Source organism: Homo sapiens, chromosome 1 (assembly GCF_000001405.40).
Source record: "Homo sapiens chromosome 1, GRCh38.p14 Primary Assembly".
Taxonomy (NCBI): domain Eukaryota; kingdom Metazoa; phylum Chordata; class Mammalia; order Primates; family Hominidae; genus Homo; species Homo sapiens.
The window spans coordinates 214,493,297-214,514,216 of NC_000001.11; the positions used below are offsets into that span (position 1 = coordinate 214,493,297).

The following is a 20,920-nucleotide window of genomic DNA, read 5'->3' on the forward strand; positions in this document are numbered from 1 at the left end:
TCCAAGAGATGAAAAAGAAGTGAATCAGTTTCTTGGGGAACCTCCAAGCTGTTCCTCCACGGTGGTTGTACTAATTTACATTCCCACCAACCATGTACAAGACAGCACAAAGGATAAATCCTTGAGGGGATGGGTACCCCATTTTCCATGATGTGATTATTATGTATTATATGCCTGTATCAAAATAGCTCATGTGCTCCATAAGTATATATACTTACTATGTACCCACAAAAATTAAAAATAAAAAAGTATTAAAAAAAGAAATGAATTAGGCAATCAATAAAGAGTCATCACATTCCAATGAATTAGGAGAGATGGCGAGAGAGCAAAACAGGAAATTGATCTTTTATACATAACTGTAATCTATTCAGAGACACAGTGGGATCAGTGACAATGATACATGCTAACATACTGACCCAGGTTAAACACACTTTATATGCAAGACTCGTATATATAATGTCACACATATATGGTCAAGATTTCAAATGTGAAATGACAGAATGATTACACTAGTTAAGATCTTTCACAGAACATATTCTTGTTGGCATCTATCAAAAAAAAGTAAGAACAACTTCTGCACCTGTACCCCAGAACTTAAAATTTAAAAAATTTAAAAATACAAATAAGTTTTTTAAAAAGAACCACTTCTAAAGGTGTAGCACTCAATTTACGTGGACACATCAAAGAAAGAGAACCAAAGAAATCACTGGCAGCACTCCACAAGTGTCCTCTCTCCCGTCCTTAGTGCCTTCCTTTTCCTCTTCTCTCTTTCTTTCTCTTTTTTTTTCTTTTGAGACAGAGTCTCGCACTGTCGCCCAGGCTGGAGTGCAGTGGCGCGATCTCAGCTCACTGCAAGCTCCGCCTCCCAGGTTCACGCCATTCTCCTGCCTCAGCCTCCAGAGTAGCTGGGACTACAGGCGCCCAGCTAATTTTTTGTGTTTTTAGTAGAGACAGGGTTTCACCATGTTAGCCAGGATGGTATCTCTCGATCTCCTGACCTTGTGATCCGCCCGCCTTGGCTTCCCAAAGTGCTGGGATTACAGGTGTGAGCCACAGCACCCGGCCCCTCCTCTCTCTTTCTTACCTCACTCCTTGTACCAGTCATCTTGTTGTCAGCCCTATCACACAGGCTAATGTTCCCCAAGCTTAGAGAGGTTGGCGATTCCTGCCATATAAGAATACACTTTAATGCTTTTTGGTCAAAATAGGAACAAGCCCTGGATGTACTTCTTTTTACCCTGCCAAGTTAGCCAACTTTAACTTTATGCTCTGTTGTGGTGCATTGTTATTGTGTTGCCTTGTCATCTAACATTAAGCTCTTTTTTTGCAAGGGTAGAAAGAGATGACACGGAATTGGTCATATAAATGAAGCTTTACATGAACAAAGCAGGGAGAACTAAAGCTAACAAAATGTTTGGACGTCTAAAGGAAGAGTGGCCTCTCCTGATGTTTCTAAGACTGAGTTACCACTACACTACTGAATGGAAGGGAGAGAAGGGGGAAGGGCAGTTGTGTTCCTTGACAATATTCAAGGAAAAGGAAGACCAAAGTATAATTAGAAACACTGACCACGTGTCATCTTCACCACAAGTGAACCTGAGGGAAGGAGATGCCTGAAAGACCTGGAATTCTTCTTGCTTGACTCATGAAACTCAACAGGTCTTAGAGATGACTGCACAATAAAATCACTTTGGACCTAGAAGCAACTGTCTGAGAACTGGGACCAGCATTAGTGGTGAGATGTATTTTCTCCTCTCTCAGCATCATCCCAGAAAGGGACACACAGAGTTACTCATTAAGGTGAAAAAATCTAAAGACACTATACTAGTGAAAAGCTTGGGATCTGAAGAAAGAGCACTGAATTTCAATACTATGTTTGAATTTCAGCCAACTGTAAAATCTTTGGCATACTATTTAAACTCTCTGAGCGTTGGTTCCCTCATCTGTAAGATGAAAACAGTAACTACATGTCACGGCGTCAGTGAAAAGATTAAATAAGATAATGTATATAAAGCACTATCAGAGTCCCTGGCCCAGATAACAATGCCTAATAATTACCTATTACTGTAGCTATTACAAGTAGGGGGACAGTGGTTTAAAAATCAACACTGAAGGAATAAAAAGGACATGTGAAAGATGACACCAAAACCAAAATTTAATTCAAATCTTCTGAAGCAAACTAAGTACCATTAAGGAGAGGAATAACAATTGGTCAGAAAATCTGCAGTAATTCAAGAGTCTAAAAAAATAGTGTTCCAATTAATCCACTCCAGGAGAAAAGGTACTTAGACAAGACTGACATTATCAAATTAAGATGGGGGAGGAAAAGTGCTTTTCAGAACAGTTATCATGTGCTATTTTATTTTTTTTATTTATTTATTTATTTATTTATTTATTTATTTATTTATTTACTTCGCAACGGAAATTCGCTCTTGTTGCCCAGGCTGGAGTGCAATGGTGCGATCTCAGCTCACCGCAACCTCCGCCTCCCTGGTTCAAGCGATGCTCCTGCCTCAGCCTCCCGAGTAGCTGGGATTACAGGCACACGCCACCATGCCCAGCTAATTTTGTATTTTTAGTAGAGACAGGGTTTCACCATGTTGGTCAGGCTGGTCTCGAACTCCCGACCTCTGGTGATCCGCCCTGCCTCGGCCTCCCAAAGTGCTGGGATTACAGACATGAGCCACCACACTCGGCCTCATGTGTTATTTTAATACATTTTTCATACCCACAGATAAACAACACTTCATGTTTCTTTTCTAAACAAAAAAAAACTCTCCTGGCATTCTTGGTCCTGAGCTTATAATTTGCTCAGTAATTTTCCATTTCAGTTTTGTGCTCACAGATTTAGAAACGTACTTCATTTCCTAACAAAAATACTTTTGCTCTGCAGTATTTATTGCTTCTGCATAACTAGATCCCAGTGAACAGGTGAGAGAGGTACCCAAGAGGAAATGTGGAATAATAGTGTGCAAAGTGTTCTAGAGCAGAAGGTCACACTGCGGAACATACTTTATAACTGTAACAGGATACGGCTTAGCCCAGTGTTAGGCTTAGCCCAGCTCTGTCAAGGGGAGTTCAGCCAAGGTCCTCAGGGGCAAGGAATTCTAGTTATACTGCACACTGACCTCACTCATGACCCATACCAACTCACTGAAACCCCTCGGGGAAAATGAGTTACTAGTACCTGCCCTGCTCCCCAAACTTCCAATGGAATAGCAAATTGTGGGTTTTCTGTTTCTTGTTTTCAGCAGCACCTTTATTTTCAAATGAAATATTACAGATAAAAGCAGAACTGATTTGATGATACCTGTATATTCTTTTTAAACACTCCTTACCCCCTACCCAAGTGCTGGGATCCCTAAGGGACCAGAGAACACTATTAGAAACTAAATGACAGCTGGAGAGAGATTTTTAAAGTCCTAAAGAACAATTTATCCATAATCTGAATTTCTATGATTCAGTTTTAACTTAATATCTAATTTGATCTATATTCCACAGAACTGCTTTGGTAAGTTATAAAAATCCTATATAAAAATATATCAATTTTCATGATTAAACTACAAAGGAAAAGAAATAAAGTTCAATCATTCCTTCAGTCTAGCTCAGTCTTTGTAAGAAAACAAAATCATAAAAGTGCTAGAAAAAAAACATAAGAAAATACATTTTTAAATTGGAGGGTCTTTGTAAATAAGATCCAAAACTGAGAGACCATACAGATTTTATTAAATAAATTAAAACTCCTGTATGGCTCAAGACAACAAGAAATAAGTTAGCAAACAACAACCTGGTCTCCAGAAATTGAGCTCTATTGGGGCAGCGGTGGGGGGTCGGGGGGAAGAAATAAAGAAAGAAAACAACAACCTGGAGGAAAATACTTGCAACATATGTAACAGACAAAAAAAGTTAGTATCAAAGAAATCTCAATAATCGATCAGAAACTAGAAAAATGGAAAATTTATAGCTGAAAGACACACAGCTAAGAAGCATATGAAGACATTCAACCTCACCATCAGGAAAATGTAAATTAAACATGCACAAGAGGCAATGTTTTTAATCTATCAAGTTAAAAAAATTAAAGAGATCATTTTCAGAGCTGATGAGGATAGTGAGGCTATTTATTGGCATACACACAGGTAAAACATTTTTAAGCAGAAATTTGGCATTATCCATCAAAATTTAAGTGTGTATAGCATTTAGCCCAGTCATTCCACTTTTAATCTATGCTACAAGCTTCTACATACATCTATGAAAAAGGATGTCACTTTTGCATTATTTATAATACAGAAAACATGATATCACTGGAAGCCTATGGGACCTGGTGCAAAGGTACAAAACATTTATAAGAACTAGAATGATCTATACTTACTCCTGAGACAGGCAGCTTACCATATATTACCGAGTGGCAAAAGCAAATGCAGCATTATGCATAGTATAATTTTGTTTCTAATTTCTTTTTTCAAAACTTTCTCTACATTTCATATTATGTATATATACATGCATAGGAAAAGTTCTGTGAGGAAACAGCCCAAGCCATCAGCTATTCTTAGGGGGAAAAAAAAGGAAAATATAAAACTATATCAGCATGTTGCTGTCAATTTCATTAGAAACACACACGAGAGAGAGAGAGAAACACAATGAGAGAGAAAAGGACAAAAGAAATGATGGCCATGAGTACTCATAGCTGATAGGGTTCTGGGTGATTTTTATTTTCTGCTTTATAAAATGTTTTATATTTCTTATATTTTCTATAATGATCATTATTACTTTTATATTCAGAAAAATAATACAAGTTATGCTTAAAATATTATAACAAAGTACTGGGGGAAGTATTTCTTATTTAAAACTAAGAAAACAGTATCTACTGAATGTTATTGTTTCTGTCCCTAGAGCTAGATAAAAATCACAGGGCAAAGCCAAGAGTTAAGCTCCTCCTTGCTCTTTCCCTTCTAACGCTGTGAGTCTCCTAACATGGCACACAAACATGATACTGTAGAGATTCATTCTAATAAAAGCATATCACTGAGTACAGGCTCTGCTATCCCAGGTCAATAAGAGCTGGAATAATTGTGGAAGGTTTCATGGAAGAAGGCAAGACTCAGTTGGATCTTAAATAATTCAGAGGGATGTAAGAGAGAAAGGGCAAGAAACTAAAAGTTCCTCAGATTACCTTATTATCCATATTTTTTCAACCTAATAGCTCTCAATGTTTGAAAACTGCCACATAAACTTACCTAGCCTCCAAAAAGAGAATCAAATATGATTACTCAATAATATATGGAAACATATCCAAATATGCATATATACTTAACATATTATTCTAAAGATGCATATTTAAAAATTCTCAATTTCCCATCCACAAGAAAATGTGTTCAAAGCCAATAGTCTACACGGCACCACAATATATTGCTGATAATTTGGTATAATTTCCATGGCAAACAATTTGGCCATATAAATTAAAATTTAAAATACCCATATGCCCATACCCTTTAAAATTTTTTTTTCCTGCGAGATCCTTGTTCTGATTTAAGAGATAGGGTCTCACTCTGTTGCCCAAGCTGGAGTACAGTGGTGTGATCATAGCTTATAACAGCCTTGACCTCCTGGACTCAAGTCATCCTCCCACTTCAGCCTCCTGAAAAGCTACGACTACAGGTATGCGCCACCACCCTTGGCTAATTTTTTTATTTTATAGAGACAGTCTCACTATGTTGTCCAGGCTGGCCTCAAACTCCCAGACTCAAGCCATCCTCCCACCTCTGCCTCCCAAAGTACTGGGATAAGAGATAGTAGCCATCACACCTGGCGGCCCACACCCTTTGACCTAGCATTACACTAACAGGAGTTTATTCTAAGACTCATACTTGTGTGAGAAAATTCTTCGTTCACTGCAAAATCTGGAAGCAACCTAGAAACTGCACCACAGAGAGGTTATGTGGACAGTCTGTGCACGTAACAGAAAAAAATGAATGAGGAGGCTCGCTATATACTAGAATTAATGCCTGTCAAAATAAGAGACCATAGTGATATAGAACCCTAGAGAGACTGATCAGTAGAATGAGTGTGTGGAAAAAGAGGGTAGGCATATATATATATATATGCTGGTATACATACAAAATATCTCTGAAGAATATATAAATAACTATCAACTATTGGCCTCTGGAAGGTGGACCAGGAGGCTGCCGAGCAGGAGTGAAATGAAAACTTCTTACTGTATGCCAAAAAGATTTGTACTTTTAAAATTTGCATCATGTTCATCTTTCAGCCATTCAAACAAAAACAAACATAATTTAATTTTAACACATTGTATCTCTTCCCTCAAAAGAAAACTTCAAAGCTAACACTTTACATGGTAAAACTATCCATTTATGTGAATTCAGAAAGTTTGCCAGAGTTCACGTAACTGCAGTTTTTTAAATGGTTAGGCTATCAAATGAATGCTCCATAAATTTGTTATATTATTTCTAATTTAAGCATTCATTTTTTTTTAGATTGCCTAGGAGACAACTCTTAAAAAGAAAATAATACTCAGTTTTATGTCTCAAATACAGAAAGCCTCTTCACATTACAGGAAACTCAACTTCAAAAGCCATTACATTTCCTACAGGAACTCTTACCCTCGTGACACTTCTGTGCCAGCAGGCTTGAGGAGGGGAAAGGACAAATGGTTCTACCTTCCAGAGCGTTTCAGTAACACTCTTGAAGCAACATCATCTAGAATGAGAAAATGTCACACATTGTCCGCAAATGTCCACAAATGTGGGACATTTTCTCATTCTAGATGATGGATCATGATTCCAGTTTACGGCATTTTTGCTTTATATTTTATTCTAATGTATCAATAAGGATATGACCAAGAATCAAAGTTTCCAGAAAAATATTCCCCCAAATATGTAAGACATACCCACATGGGTCCATATTCTTGTATTTGTGGCAATTGTCAAAGACACCGGAAAAATAATCTTAGCAGCCTGGGACAAAGGCAGACTCTGGACACAAACTCTTAATTAGAAGGAGCCAGAGATCTACCCCCTTCCCTTCCTAAATAAGCTGCAATCTCAACAACATCCCATGTCAACTCAAACTTTGTTTAAACACCCAGATTTTCCTAGTTCTTTGGATTCAACTCTCTACTTGAGAGGCTTCTTATAATCAGATCCATCTTTCCGGCAACAAAGAAAGCCACCAACACCCTCCTCCTTCAACTTGGTGAACTGACAGCTCTTTTATGGTTCCAAATACAAGTGGCTTGAGGCATCGGCTCACTGAGTGAAGTGCTGAGATTTCTCTCAAGGACAACCTCCTAATGTTTCAGAACCACTGAGGGACAGACAGAAACAATCAATTCACCACAGGTTTCACCAGATTTTAACCGATATAAGGCACCTTGGCTCTCACAGAAGGGGAAAAGGGGATAATCTGTTACATCCTATCTAAGGTCTTCATTAAAAAAGAAAAAAAAAATTATTGAAAGAAATCTGAAGCCAGCAAATGACTGCCCTGACTACCCTGGAATGACAACATCTGTGGGGCATGTGGAGCCTCAGGTCCCTCATCATTAACATGAAGAAAAGGCAGATTAGCTTGGAAGGATGGCTGTGAGCATTAGAGGAAAGGTTTAAAAACATCTGGTCCTTCGTAATTATTCATTACTGCTAGAAACTATGTAAAACACTAACAATGAAAAGATTCACCATGCCCAAGAGCAGCTTGAGAAAACTAAATATAGCAAAGATAAAAATGTATTCTTCATTGATAGGCTGTACAATTTTAAGGCAACACCAAAGTTCAAGGAATAATGTGATAAATAGCGCAATTCGTCTCATGGAGCTGGGTAAAATGCCAAATTCGTCTTTTCATATTTTAATAATGTTACAGTGTGACTGTTATTAAGCCATGTGAGAGCTGGTTAAACACAGAAAACTTAATCCATGAAAACAGAGTAAGTATTCTTTTTTTTTGGAGACGGAGTTTCGCTCTTTTCGCCCAGACTGCAGTCCAGTGGCACTCTCAACTCAGTGCAACCTCCGCCTCCCAGGTTCAAGTGATTCTCCTGCCTCAGCCTCCCGAGTGGCTGGGACTACAGGTGCCCACCACCACACCCTGCTAATTTTTTGTATTTTTTAGTAGAGACGGGGCTTCGTGATGTTGGGCAGGCTGGTCTTGAACTCCTGACCTCAAGTGATCCACCCTCCTCAGCCTCCCAAAGTGCTGGGATTACAGGCATGAATGACCACGCCCAGCCCAAAACAGAGTAAGTATTCTATGAACAATTAGGCTATAAATTCCTTCAGAGGTAACCCTATGCCTCTCTTTTTCCTGTTGAACTCCCACCTAACACTGGGCCTGGAATAATAAACAATATTTAGTGGCTCAATAAACACTAATTAAGGAAATGAATTGGGATCACCAGGCGTAGTATAGAGAAAAACCAAGTTAAATCCATTTTTCATGGCACATAACTTCAAAAGTTATTTTTTAGGCCAGGTGCAGTGGCTCACGCCTGTAATCCCAGCACTTTGGGAGGCCAAGGCCGGCGGATCACAAGTTCAGGAGATCCAGACCATCCTGGCTAACACGGTGAAACCCCGTCTCTATAAAAAATACAAAAAATTAGCCAGGCATGGTGGTGGGCGCCTGTAGTCCCAGCTACTGGGGAGGCTGAAGCAGGAGAATGGCATGAACTCAGGAGGCGGAGCTTGCAGTGAGCCGAGACTGTGCCACTGCCCTCCAGCCTGGGCGACGGTGCAAGGCTCTGTCTCAAAAAAAAAAAAAAAAAAAAAAAAGGTTATTTTTCAAACCACTTTATAAGGTGTGATTGACATACAAAAAGTTGCATATATTTAATGCATAGAACTGAATTTGGGAGCTCTCATAAAGATTTTTCATCCCTGGAGGGTTGTTAAATAGGTGCTTCTAAGGGGGGAAGAGGGCTGGACCCCCTATTCCACCATCCTACTGATGGCGGTAGGGTCATTTTGAAAAAGTTTTACCATGATAATTAAGAGCCTGAGATTAACAGAGAGAGATCTGTGTTCAACCCAACTCTGTTCTTTACTAGCCAAACAATGATGTGCATTTTATAAACCTGTTTTCCTATATGCAAAATAGCTTCATTGTCCTATAATACAATACAGCTCAGAGTGGTAAACAAGAAAAACATATGCAAATAGTGTGCAACACACAGCAGGTCTTGAAAAATATTTGTAATATTCATTCAACTTATTTTTTATTTATTTATTTTTAGAGACAGGATCTCACTATGTTGCCCAGGCTGGTCTCATACTCCCGGTATCAAGTAACCCTCCCACCTCAGCCTCCCAAAGTGCTGGGATTACAGGCAGGAGCCACTGTGCGAGGCCAACTAAACAGTTTTAGCATTTAAACGTTACGAAAAAATGTTGAAGACTTGGAACAAATGATCAAAATAAAGACAGAGTGATTTAGTTGTGTAAAAAAGTGTTCCATAATAAAATATAGCGCAATAATGTTAAAAATAACAATATCACAGAAAAAAATAGGGAAAACATAAATGAAACTGTGTTATCCTTATGTCAATTATTTGCATAGGATGTATTCAGGCTTCCCTCAGTTTTTGCAGAAGATCTTAGAAAAATTAAGTGAAAAGTTGCTCAAATCTGTCATTTTAAAAACCTATTAGTATTGATTATTGAAAATATATATTACCAGCCTAACTCTACAAAAGTTGACAAAGTATCTCTAAAGGAAATTCCAACCAAAAGGATAAGATCCAATTAAATGAGAGATTCAGAGTTTTAAATTCACACTGTGAAAATTATACTAGCATACACTTGGAGAAACATGTCACTACAAGCAAATTTAAATACAATTTTTGTTAAAAATAAGCAATAACAATAATAAAATGGCAAACACTATACAGTATTTATTATGAAAGGCACTATTCTAAGTACTTTACAGGAACTCATTAAATCTTCAAAACTAATATCTAATGACATGTAAGAGATAATCTGTCCTAAGTATATGTGAGTATTGAAGATGAAGTAGGAAAGACGTTGACTTCTTTTTTAGATATGGCATCTTTGACACAGCTCAGTAATCAGAAGGACTGAATCTTAGAAGAGACTGAAGCCAGAATTTAACGGCAGCTGCCTCGCTTCCATTTTTATGTCTAATATGTAGACGTACATTTGTAAGACAAAATAAACATTTAAAATAGAGTTTAAGAAACAGAAAACTCAAAATTGGCATTCTATTTTCACTTCAAATCTCGGTACAGAATTATTACATTTCAGTCAGCTCTCCTCAGGTTCATTCTTCCCTTTCCTCTCTCAAAGCAAAGTGCAGCACTGTCATATGTGGTCTTGTGATCCCACTAGTGTGATGTTGGTCAATAAACAATTAGTCGGTGTAATTCGGTAAAATCCTATGATGTACTTAGCTGCAGGAAGAACACACACTAATGTCAGCAATGTTGTGAGTCATTTTATTTTATCTGCATATAAAGTGTTTGTATGCGTTCAGCAGCAAACACACCCGACATCACCTACTTCAATAAGGTTTGCCTTATGGCTTTTTGTTTATTTATTTTAGATCAAAGGTGAGTCTCTGAGCTTCCACAGTAAGGACAAGCCTAGAGCAAATGATGCTTCTTGGGACTCTCATCATTTTGTACATAGGGCTTTCTTGTGATGGAGAAGTGTGAGAAATAGTCAGGAAACTTGGGTGCCTTCCTCAAACACACCTCTTCTGTAGAACCAGAGAATGGTCATAGGAATGCTGCGAATAATGTCACCACTTTCCCATTCCTCCCCAACTAGTAATGAGAATGTGGAAAACTCAGCTTAAAACTAAAGAAAAATCTTTCAATTTACATTATAGAACATTGAACAACTGCCGCTGCCTCTCCGTTAGCCCTACCTCTGCGAAGACCTTTATATTACACTCGAGGAGTCAGAAATACCATAGGAAGGCGACCCACAGTCAATCACCACATAGCCAGATAGGAAACCTTTTAGCCATGGTTGCATCCAAGCACATGGCAAGCACCGGGCAATGGGCAGCTGCCTCAAACACACCATTCCTGAGAACAGACTCAGCATCAGGTACTTCTGATGCATTATTCTCTCCTGATCTTACAGCAAAGCCCTGGAAGCCTGTGCTCTTCCTGTCGCACCAAAACTGCCTTCTGCCCTCAATCATTTTCCCGTAGCTGTCATGTCCAACTTGACGCAAGCAAATGGCAGGCACCCAGGAACGGGGCTCTTAGGACCACAATGTCCACAGAGGTGATGTCCCAGCCCCATCTCTGAATGACAAGAGTAGCACACCCATTAGCCATGAAATCGTACTAAGACACTTCCACCAAATTAAATTATTTCCAAGGCACCACCCTGCTAGGCCCTGGGGAAATGATGGTGAATGAGGCAAGGCACCAGCCTGAATGAGCTTAATCGAGGGGAGACCAATCCCAGGATAAGGGCTGGGTACAGAATGCTGGGGAATTTTCCTGCAGGAGGTAAGGTAACATACTGAATCTGCAGACAAGTAGGACTGGCTTGGACTAGGAAAAAGGAACTACCTTAGAGTAACAGGAAAGACTTGGTACTTACTGCATAAAGAGGGTGAAGGAAAATGAGTTTAGGTTGATCCAAACCCCCAGTGTGTTTAACTTCATCAGAGGTGACACCCTCACCAAGGTAGGGAATATAGGAGAAAAGATAGGTTTAAGGAAAAAGTAGATGAATTCTGTCTAAGAATTCTCTGTTTAAGATACTTGTGGCCAGTCTCATGGAAAGATCCTGACAAGCAGTTGAAATTTGGGGGCCCCCAACGAGAGGTCTGAGTTAAATATGAGTTCATTGTGGCGGTCATGTGAACAAACCCAGCTGTGAATACCCGCCAGGGAAAAAAAAAAAAGTGTGACAGGAGGACATGGGATCCAATGCTAGATGACACCTGACACCTACATTCAATGGGTGACCAGCAGGAGGAGAACCTTCAACAAACAGTGAAAGGGAACACCCAGGGAAGCAGGAGAAACATCTCGAGCAGGGGACTACCCGAGATGGTAACGCTTCAAGGAGAAGGATCTGGTCAATGTCCAATTCCAAAGGGAGGTCAGATAAGGACTGAAAAACATTCACCATGGCCAACAGGAGATGGCTGGTCCCTTCGGGGGGGTGGGGTGGTCAGTGCCCACACAGTGGTGGAGCTGCCAGCTGCGATGTAAGGAGCTGAGGACGGAATGGGAGATGCAGCAGCCTCAGAACTTTCTCAAGAGGCTTAGCTACAAAGAAAAGAGCTCAGCCTTTCATTACTTTTTCTTAATAGTTTGCAGCTGGGTGCAGTGTCTCACGCCTGTAACCCCAAAACTTTGAGAGGCCAAAGCTGGAGGATTGCTTGAATTCAGAAATTTGAGACATGCCTAGGCAACACAGCAAGACGTCACCTCTCCCAAAACTTTTTAAAATTAGCCGAGGTGGTGGCATGTGTCTGTAGTCCCAGCTACTGGGGAGGCTGAGGCAGGAGGATCACTTGAGTCTGGGAGTTTGAGGCTGCAGTAAGTTATGATTGTGCCACTGGACTCCTGCCTGGACAACAGAGTTAGACTTTGTCTCAAAAAAATCGAGTTTGTAATAAGCAGAAAATATTCCAACTCAGAGCGAATAGTCAGTTCAGCACAGATTTACAATGAACTCTCTCAGGGTAAACCTAAGCCCAGACACAGAGACAGAGAGACACTGGCCACGTAACCATGCATCCACTGCTTAGGCAGCAGTGAGATTACTATGAAGAAGGGAAGCCAAGGACAATTCCTTCGATTACTAAGGAAAGGAAACTAAGACTGATAACAAGTTAGGAATCATCAATAGCATTAATCGAAAAACTTCTCAGAACTGGGAAGAGCCAATTTCCGCTAGCTTTTTTCCTAAATATAAAAACTGGCCAGGCACGGTGGCTCACACCCTGTAACCTCAATGCTATGGGAGGCCACAGTGGGAGGATTGCTCGAGGTCAGGAATTCGAGACCAGATTGGGCAACACAGGAGGCCCCGTCTCTTAAATTTTTTTTTTTAAAATTTTTTAAATGAGCTGGGTGTTGGTGGCATGTGCCTATAATTCCAGCTACTCCCGAGGCTGAGACGGAAGGACCACCTGAGTTGCAGAGTTCAGGGCTGCAGTAAGTTGTGATGGTGCCACTGCACTCCAACCTGGAAGATAGAGATCCTGTGTCTAAAAGAAGAAAATAAATAAATAAATAAATATAAAAACTATTTCTAATGTTTACAGAATGTTTTTTAAGTAGGCAAGAATGCCAAAACCTTTAATTGGATGTGACAAACGGTAAAAGTGAAACTGTATCTTCGTGGTAGTGGGGTTCTGCCAGGTGGCCAATGCTCATTAACCAGGGATACAGGTGGCTCTCTCCCTGGAGTCAGCCATCACATAACTGACGCTGCACCCAGCACAAAACAGCCCCTGTGAGGGGAGGGAGACCTCGAATTTTTCTTTGCTCCCTTTATTTTCTTTCAAAAATCTTTTTCCAGTCCAGATGACTGGTCCTCATAAACAAGAATGTCTCGGTGGCATGTGCAGCATAACACACTAACATCTGCTAACAAGAGCGCGGGTTTTTTTTTTTTTCCATGTTTTGTACTGAGGAAAGGACCACTTTATATTGTCTCTACACAGCTGTGTTTAAGTTAAATGAAAATTCGATAGCAATCATTCTACTCGTCTCTAAAAGATGACAAACCATTCATGGATATCACCTGCTTTCTTTACCAAGAATGAGTCATAAAACTTCTGTGATATGCAAATGTTATTTGCAAAAGAAAAAAAAACTTCACAGTTCCACATACTTTAAAAAACAAACTATGAAAGGTATATGGTCTTAGTCAAAGGTAAGGAATGGTTAACCATTATTCATTCTGAGCAGTAGGTCTCATCAAAGATTAGGTGTATCTCTGGCATGTTGCAGGGATTAACCATTAACCCACTGGCTAACAATCTCCACTACCATGCCCCACCCCCATCCTTTTCAGCCCTCCATGTCTGCAAACCAGAAAGGCAGGAATGCCTCCTGTCTCTAAGGCTACAGATTTGATTAATCCTGCATCCATGCTCTATCAGTAAAGGACATCTCAGAAGTCAAGACACAGCATATATACCTTTTTATAATTAATCCTGAGTCAGTATAGCTCATCCTAGAAGAACACTTTCAAGACATATATAGAACACCTTTTAACAATGAAACTACAAATCAGCTGTCACAGAGTTAAATTTATTCTTCTCTAGGATTTGGGGACAGTAGACATGACCACTGTTTGCACCAAACTGATGTAATCAACTTTCTTTTGTTCCAGTCAATATCAATTACAGGCATATCTCGGAGACATTGTGGGTTTGGCTCCATACCACTGCGATAAAACGAATCTCACAATAAAGCAAGTCACACAAACTTTTTGCTTTCCCAGTGCATATAAAAGTTATGTTTGTTTTACACTATTAGTCTATAAAGTGTGCAAAAGCATCATGTCTAAAAAGCCAATGTTACCTTAATTTTAAAATGCTTTATTGTAGTCCCCACTACTCAGGAGGCTGAGGCGGAAGGATCCATTGAGCCCAGAAGTTCCAGGCTGCAGTGAGCTATGATTGAACCTGTCAATAGTCACAGCACACCAGCCTGCGCAACATAATGAGACTCTATCTCTAAGAAAAAAAAAAATACTGTATTGCTAAAAAAGGCTAAGGATCATCTAAGCCTTCAGCAAGTCCTAATGTTTTTGCTGGTGGAGGGTCTTGCCTTGATGTTGATGGCTGCTGATCAGCATGGTGGCTGCTGGAAGTTGGGTGGCTATGGCCATTTCTTAAAATAAAGACAATGAAGTTTGCCACATCAGTTGACTCTTCCTTTCATGAAAGATTTCTCTGGAGAACCCAATGCTGTTTGACAGCATTTTACCCACAGTAGAGTATCTTTCCAAATTGGAGTCAATCCTCTCACACTCTGCCACTGCTTTATCAACTAAGTATATGTTATATTCTAAATCCTTTCTTGTCGTTTTAACAATGTTCACAGCATCATCACCAGGAGTAGATTCCATCTCAGGAAACCACTTTTTTTGCTCATCCATAAAAAGTAACCCTCATCCTTTCAAGTTTTATCATGAGACCGCAGCAATTCAGTCCCATATTCAGGCTCCACTTCTAATTCTAGTTCTCTTGCTATTTCCACCACCTCTGCAGTTACTTCCTCTGCTAAAGTTTGAACCCCTCAAAATCATTCATGAGACTTGGAATCAATGTCTTCCAAACTCCTGTTATTATTATTTTAACCTCCTCTCGTGAATTGGGAATGTTGTTAATGGCACTGAGAATGGTAAATCCATTCCAGGTTTGCAATTTACTCTGCCCAGATCCATCACAGGAAACACTATCTACGGCAGCTATAGCCTTAAAAAATGTAGTTCTTAAATAATAAGACTTGAAAGTCGAAATTACTCCTTGATCCATGGGTTGCTGAATGGATGCTGTGTTAACAAGCATGAAAGCAACGTTCATCTTCTTATACATCTCCATCAGAACTCTTGGGTGACAAGATGCATTGTCAATGAGCAATAACATTTTGAAAGAAATTTTGTTAGAGCCGTAGGTCTCAACAGTGAGCTTAAAATATTCAGTAAACCATGCTGAAAACAGATGTGCTATCATCCAGGCTTTGTTGTTCCATTTACAGAGCACAGGTAGAGTAGATTTAGCATAATTCTTAAAGACTCTAGGATTTGGGGAATGATCAATGAGCACTTACTTCAACTTAAAGTCATCAGCTGCAATAGCCCCTAAGAAGAAAGTCAGCCTGTCCCTTGAAGTTTTGAAGCCAGGCACTGACTTCTCCCTAGCTATGAAATTTCTAGAAAAGGCTGTTTCATCCACATTGAAAATCTGTTATTTAGTGTAGCCACCTTCATCAGTGATCTTAGCTAGATCTTCTGGATAACTTGCTGCAGCTTCTACATCAGCACTTGCTGCTTAAACTTGCACTTTCATGTTATGGAAACAGCTTCTTTCCTTAAACTTCATCAGTCAACCTCTGCTAGCTCCAGCTTTTCTTCTGCAGCTTCCTCACCTCTCTCAGTCTTCACAGAATTGAAGAGAGTTAGGGCTTAGCTCGGGATTAGGCTTTGGCTTAAGGAAAGTTTGTGGTTGGTTCAATCTATCCAGACCACTCAATTTTTCTCCCTATTAGCAATAAGGCTGTTTTGCTGTTGCTGTTGCACATGTTATCATTCATGTGGTTCACTGGAGTGGCAATTTTTATTTCTTTCAAGAACTTTTCCTTTCAGTCACAACTTAGCAAACTGGCACAAGAGGATTATAAATCATGCTACTATAAAGACACATGCACATGTATGTTTATTGCAGCACTATTCACAATAGCAAAGACTTGGAACCAACCCAAATGTCCATCAATGATAGACTGGATTAAGAAAATGTGGCACATATACACCATGGAATACTATGCAGCCATAAAAAAGGATGAGTTCACGTCCTTTGTAGGGACATGGATGAAGCTGGAAACTATCATTCTGAGCAAACTATTGCAAGGACAGAAAACCAAACACCACATGTTCTCACTCGTAGGTGGGAATTGAACAATGTGAACACTTGGACACAGGGTGGGGAACATCACACACCGGGGCCTTTCAGGTAGCTTTCAGGCTATCTTGGCTTTCAATGTCTCCCTCACTAAATTTAATCATTTCTAGATGTTGCTGAGGTAACTGTAGGGTTCTTAATTGGCCTAATTTCAATATTGTTGTGTCTCAGGGAATAGGGAGGCGGGAGGAGAGGGAGAGATAAGGGAGGGAGTGGCTGGGCCATAGAACAGTCAAAACACACACAACTTTTATCAATTTAGTTTGCCATCTTATGTGGCACAGTTTGTGACACCCCAAAACAACTACAACATTAACATCAAAGATCCCTGATCACAGATCACTTTAACAGATATCAAGATAATGAAAGCGTCTGACATATTGTGAGAAATGCCAAAATGTGACACAGAGACTTGAAGTAAGCACGTGCCGTTGGAAAAACAGACTTGCTCAATGCATGGTTGTCACAAACCTTCCATCTATACAAGAAAACAGCAATACCTGTGAAACGCAATAAAATGGTGTATGCCTGTAATGACATTGCAATGAAATACAAAGATCACTTATTTACTTTTCCTATAGGTCCACTTTAGTTTTTCAATCCTTTCTGAATACACTAAACTCTGCCATTATCAGATGGTTCAGCTTTCTGAATAAAAACTCACACTCAGTTCTACTTCTCCTTCACCTGATTTGCCCTCCCAATCTCACCCCAAAAAGTTTAATCAGCTTCCATAGAGAAGTGCTCTCAGGAGGTAAGGCAATCCCTCTACTTTGGACACATAGCTAGAGACCATCTCCATATGTTTGGACTTGGTCTGGGCAGTTCTATGCCTTGGCTACCACACAGTAGGTCCTCTGTGAATGAATGATCTGTCCTCCAAGATCTGGCTTAAAGCCAGAGGCCAGAGTCCCCAGGTATAGTTATCAATTTGTTTTTTGTTTTGTTTTTTTTTTAAGAGATGAGGTCTTGCTCTGTCACCTAGGCTGAAGTGCAGTGGCACAATCACAACTCACTGCAGCCTCGAACTGCTGGGCTCAAGCAAGTCTCCCACCTCAGCTCCTGAGTATCCGTGACTACAGGCACACATGCCACCAGGCCAAACTAAGTCTTTGGTTTTTTTTTTTTATTTTTAAAACCACATCTCGCTGTGTTGCCCAAGCTGATCTCAAACTCCTGGTGTCAAGTGATCCTCCTGCTTTCCAAGTCACTAGGATTACAAGGCATAAGCCACTGCTAGTTGCTGATTCTTTAACAGCTTCTGAAGTTAGGCTGAATGGATAACCTTTTGCCTCTCTGTGCAAAAAAGCAATCACCTTGAGAAGACTTTCCCGTACTACAAAAGGTACTAATAAAAAATACGTTTTTATAACTCTTCAAAACTCACACTTAAATTGTGTGACTCAATTTAAAAACACAGACTACCAAATTGTAAAATACAAAAGCATCACTAATAAGCACATGAAAGATGCTTAGCAACACTAATCATCAGTAGAAATCAAAGCCACAGTGAGACAATGAGGTATCACCTCACAGGATGGCCCTTATCAAAAAAAAAAAAATAGAAAGAAAAGAAAATAACAAGTGTTGGCGAGGATGTGGGAAAAATTGGAACTCTTGTGCACTGTTGGTGGGAATACAGAATGGTGCAGCTGCTACAGAAAACAGTTCAGCAGTACCTTTAACAAATTAAAAACAGAATTCCCTTAGGATCTATGGATTCTCTTTCTGAGTATAGACCCAAAAGAATTTAAAACAGAGTCTTGAAGAGATATTTGCACACCCATGTCACAGCAGCATTATTCATGGCAGGCAAAAGGTGGAAGCAACCCAAGTGTCCATCAACACATGAATGGTTGGATAAACAACTTGTGGTCTATACATACAATGGAAGGAAATCCTGATACATGCTACAACATGGATGAACCTTGAGGATATTATGCTGAGTGGATTAAGTGTTCTGTCTTTTTTTAGATTCTATAATTCTCTGTTTGGCATCCATCACAGGGCCAGTTGCTATAAACTACATTGTATTATTTTCTGCCTTCTCGATGGTCTTAGATTTGTGGCCTTGCTGACTGGGGAAAGGCTGCATCTCCCAGGGCTAGTCAATTCTTAGAGGGCTAGTAAATTCTGAGGCCCCTGCCCCAGCACATCTTCCACAGGCAAACTCACCAACTCAGTGCCCACACCCCCAACCATCTCCTTTATCAAAAGCCAGTGTTCCATCTTGCCTTAAATCCACCCAGGGCCACCCACCAGACTGCTGTACCCCACAGCCTACCAGATTTACTCAAACTTGCCAGTCTTAGCTGCTCACCCTGTCCTACCTCACCTTTCCTAAGGAAAACAAAATAAGGGTTTGGCCTAGGCTGTCCCCTCACTCCTTCTGCCTCCTAACCAATCCTGCTGCTTCTCCATGTGGCCCTATAGGGTTTGGCATGCTCCTTCTTCTTAGGAAATTTAATAAAATTAAAATCCCTTGGGTACAACTGACACAATCAGTCAGTCACAAAAAGCCACATTCTGTATGATTCCATTTATATGAACTATCTAAAGTAGTCAAGTTCATGGAAACAGAGCAGAATGGGGGTTACCAGGGGCTGAGGGCAGGAGAAAATGGAGAGGTGTTGTTTAATGGGTGGAGTTTCAGTTTTGCAAGATGAAAATTTCTGGAGATTGCAGCACAACTAATGAGTTGCACACTTAAAAAATTTTATGTGTTTTTCACTACAATGTTTTTAGATGCTAAAAAAATACGTATTATTTTTTGAGACAGCATCTCGCTCTGTTGCCCAGGCTAGAGTGCAGTAATGCAATCTTGGCTCACTGCAACCTCTCTCTCCAGGCTCAAGCAATCCTCCCACCTCAACCTCTCAAGTAGCTGGGACCACAGGCGCACATCATCATGCCCGGTTAATTTTTGTGTTTTTTTGTAGAGACAAGTTTTTGCCACGTTGGCCAGGCTGGTCTTGAACTCCTAGACTCATGCGATCTGCCCGCCTCAGCCTCCCAAAATACTGAGATTACAGGCATGAGCTACCGCACCCAGCCAAAAAATAAGTTTTTAAATCAATTTTAAAATCCCCACCAAGAATCCTGGTCCAAACACCAATTCAAACTAGAAGGATGTAACCTTTGAAGTACACATGGTCTATATACTTAGCTGAAAAATGAAAAATGATCTGGTCTGGGATAGGAAGCAGCAGAAAAACCTAAAAGATAGTTGGGGGAAGCAGTAGGAAAGTTGGAAACTGGCTGCCTGTAAGTGTAATGCAGTCCACAAATATTCATTCAATCATCTGTTCAACAAGCATGTACTTAGTACCTACTATGTGCCAAGCACTGTTTTAGATGCTGTGCAAGTGGAAGTAAACAAAACAGATTTAAGACCCCGCTTACAATCTGATGTTTGTTTGGCTCAGTGTTCTTTAAAAATTTGAACATGTTGCCACCATTTAAACATCAAAATATCTCACATAAAAATACTGATTTCCATTAGTTCTTCAAAAAAAAAAAATCTGATAGCACTGGCCTGAATTTCAGTCTAGGCACAATTATCTAGGACTTAACTGACTACCCTCATTGACAGGGCAAGCATTCTCTTCTTGGCCACAGTCCCACCACTCTCTGTGTGCTACGGGTGTGCTTTACTCATTTACTCTTCCTGCCTAGCCCCATAGGCATTTGGATTTTTAACCTGCATTCCATCTTGTGCCTGGGCTTCCAAGTCAGATTTCACAAAGTTCGAATCCCACATCTGCTACTGCTAGCTGTGTCAGTTGAGCTATATTTTTTCTGTCTCGGTTTCTCGATCGGTAAAATGGGGGCAATAATAATGGTATCTATTTCATAGCGTTGTCATAAAGATTAAATGAGATAATGTGTGCAAGGTGGGTAGCACAGTGCTTGGCAAAAGTCGATTCTCATTAAATTCCTGATATTTTTATTATTTTTGGTTGCTGTGTTATTACTCTTGTTCACCATCACCATCATTAGAACCAGCAGCAGCAGCAGCAGGATTGCAAGAAAAATACTTAAAATAGGGACAGAATTTCAGGGCCTGCCCAATTGTGAAAGGTCCCCTTCTTGTACCATTCCTCCCCCTCCCTCAATTTTCCTTTTTTCTCTCCTTGTCTTTTTTTAAATCCAGGATAATTTTGAAAGTTGACTCAGTAACTCCAGGGGGTCTTTTACCATCTGGATGCTCCCAGGCTACAAATTCCAGAGCAGCGGGCAGAGTCAACATATAACCTCAGGGGGCAAAATTAACAGTCTG

The 20,920-nt window shown here is 40.1% G+C and overlaps 1 protein-coding gene across 5 annotated transcripts in view, besides 1 other annotated feature; it reads right to left on the minus strand.

Annotated features, from left to right (window-relative positions):
- The window catches only part of PTPN14 (protein tyrosine phosphatase non-receptor type 14), a 202,903-nt gene that overhangs the window by 144,597 nt on the left and 37,386 nt on the right, over positions 1-20,920 (minus strand). The gene's annotated exons all lie outside the window — the stretch shown is intronic.
- Positions 11,708-12,685: an enhancer, noted in NCBI's record as "H3K27ac-H3K4me1 hESC enhancer chr1:214678347-214679324 (GRCh37/hg19 assembly coordinates)". NCBI's record gives its function as "activates a minimal SCP1, AML or CMV promoter by ChIP-STARR-seq in naive H9 embryonic stem cells {active_cell/tissue: H9 hESC(naive)}" and the evidence as "EXISTENCE:reporter gene assay evidence [ECO:0000049][PMID:30033119]".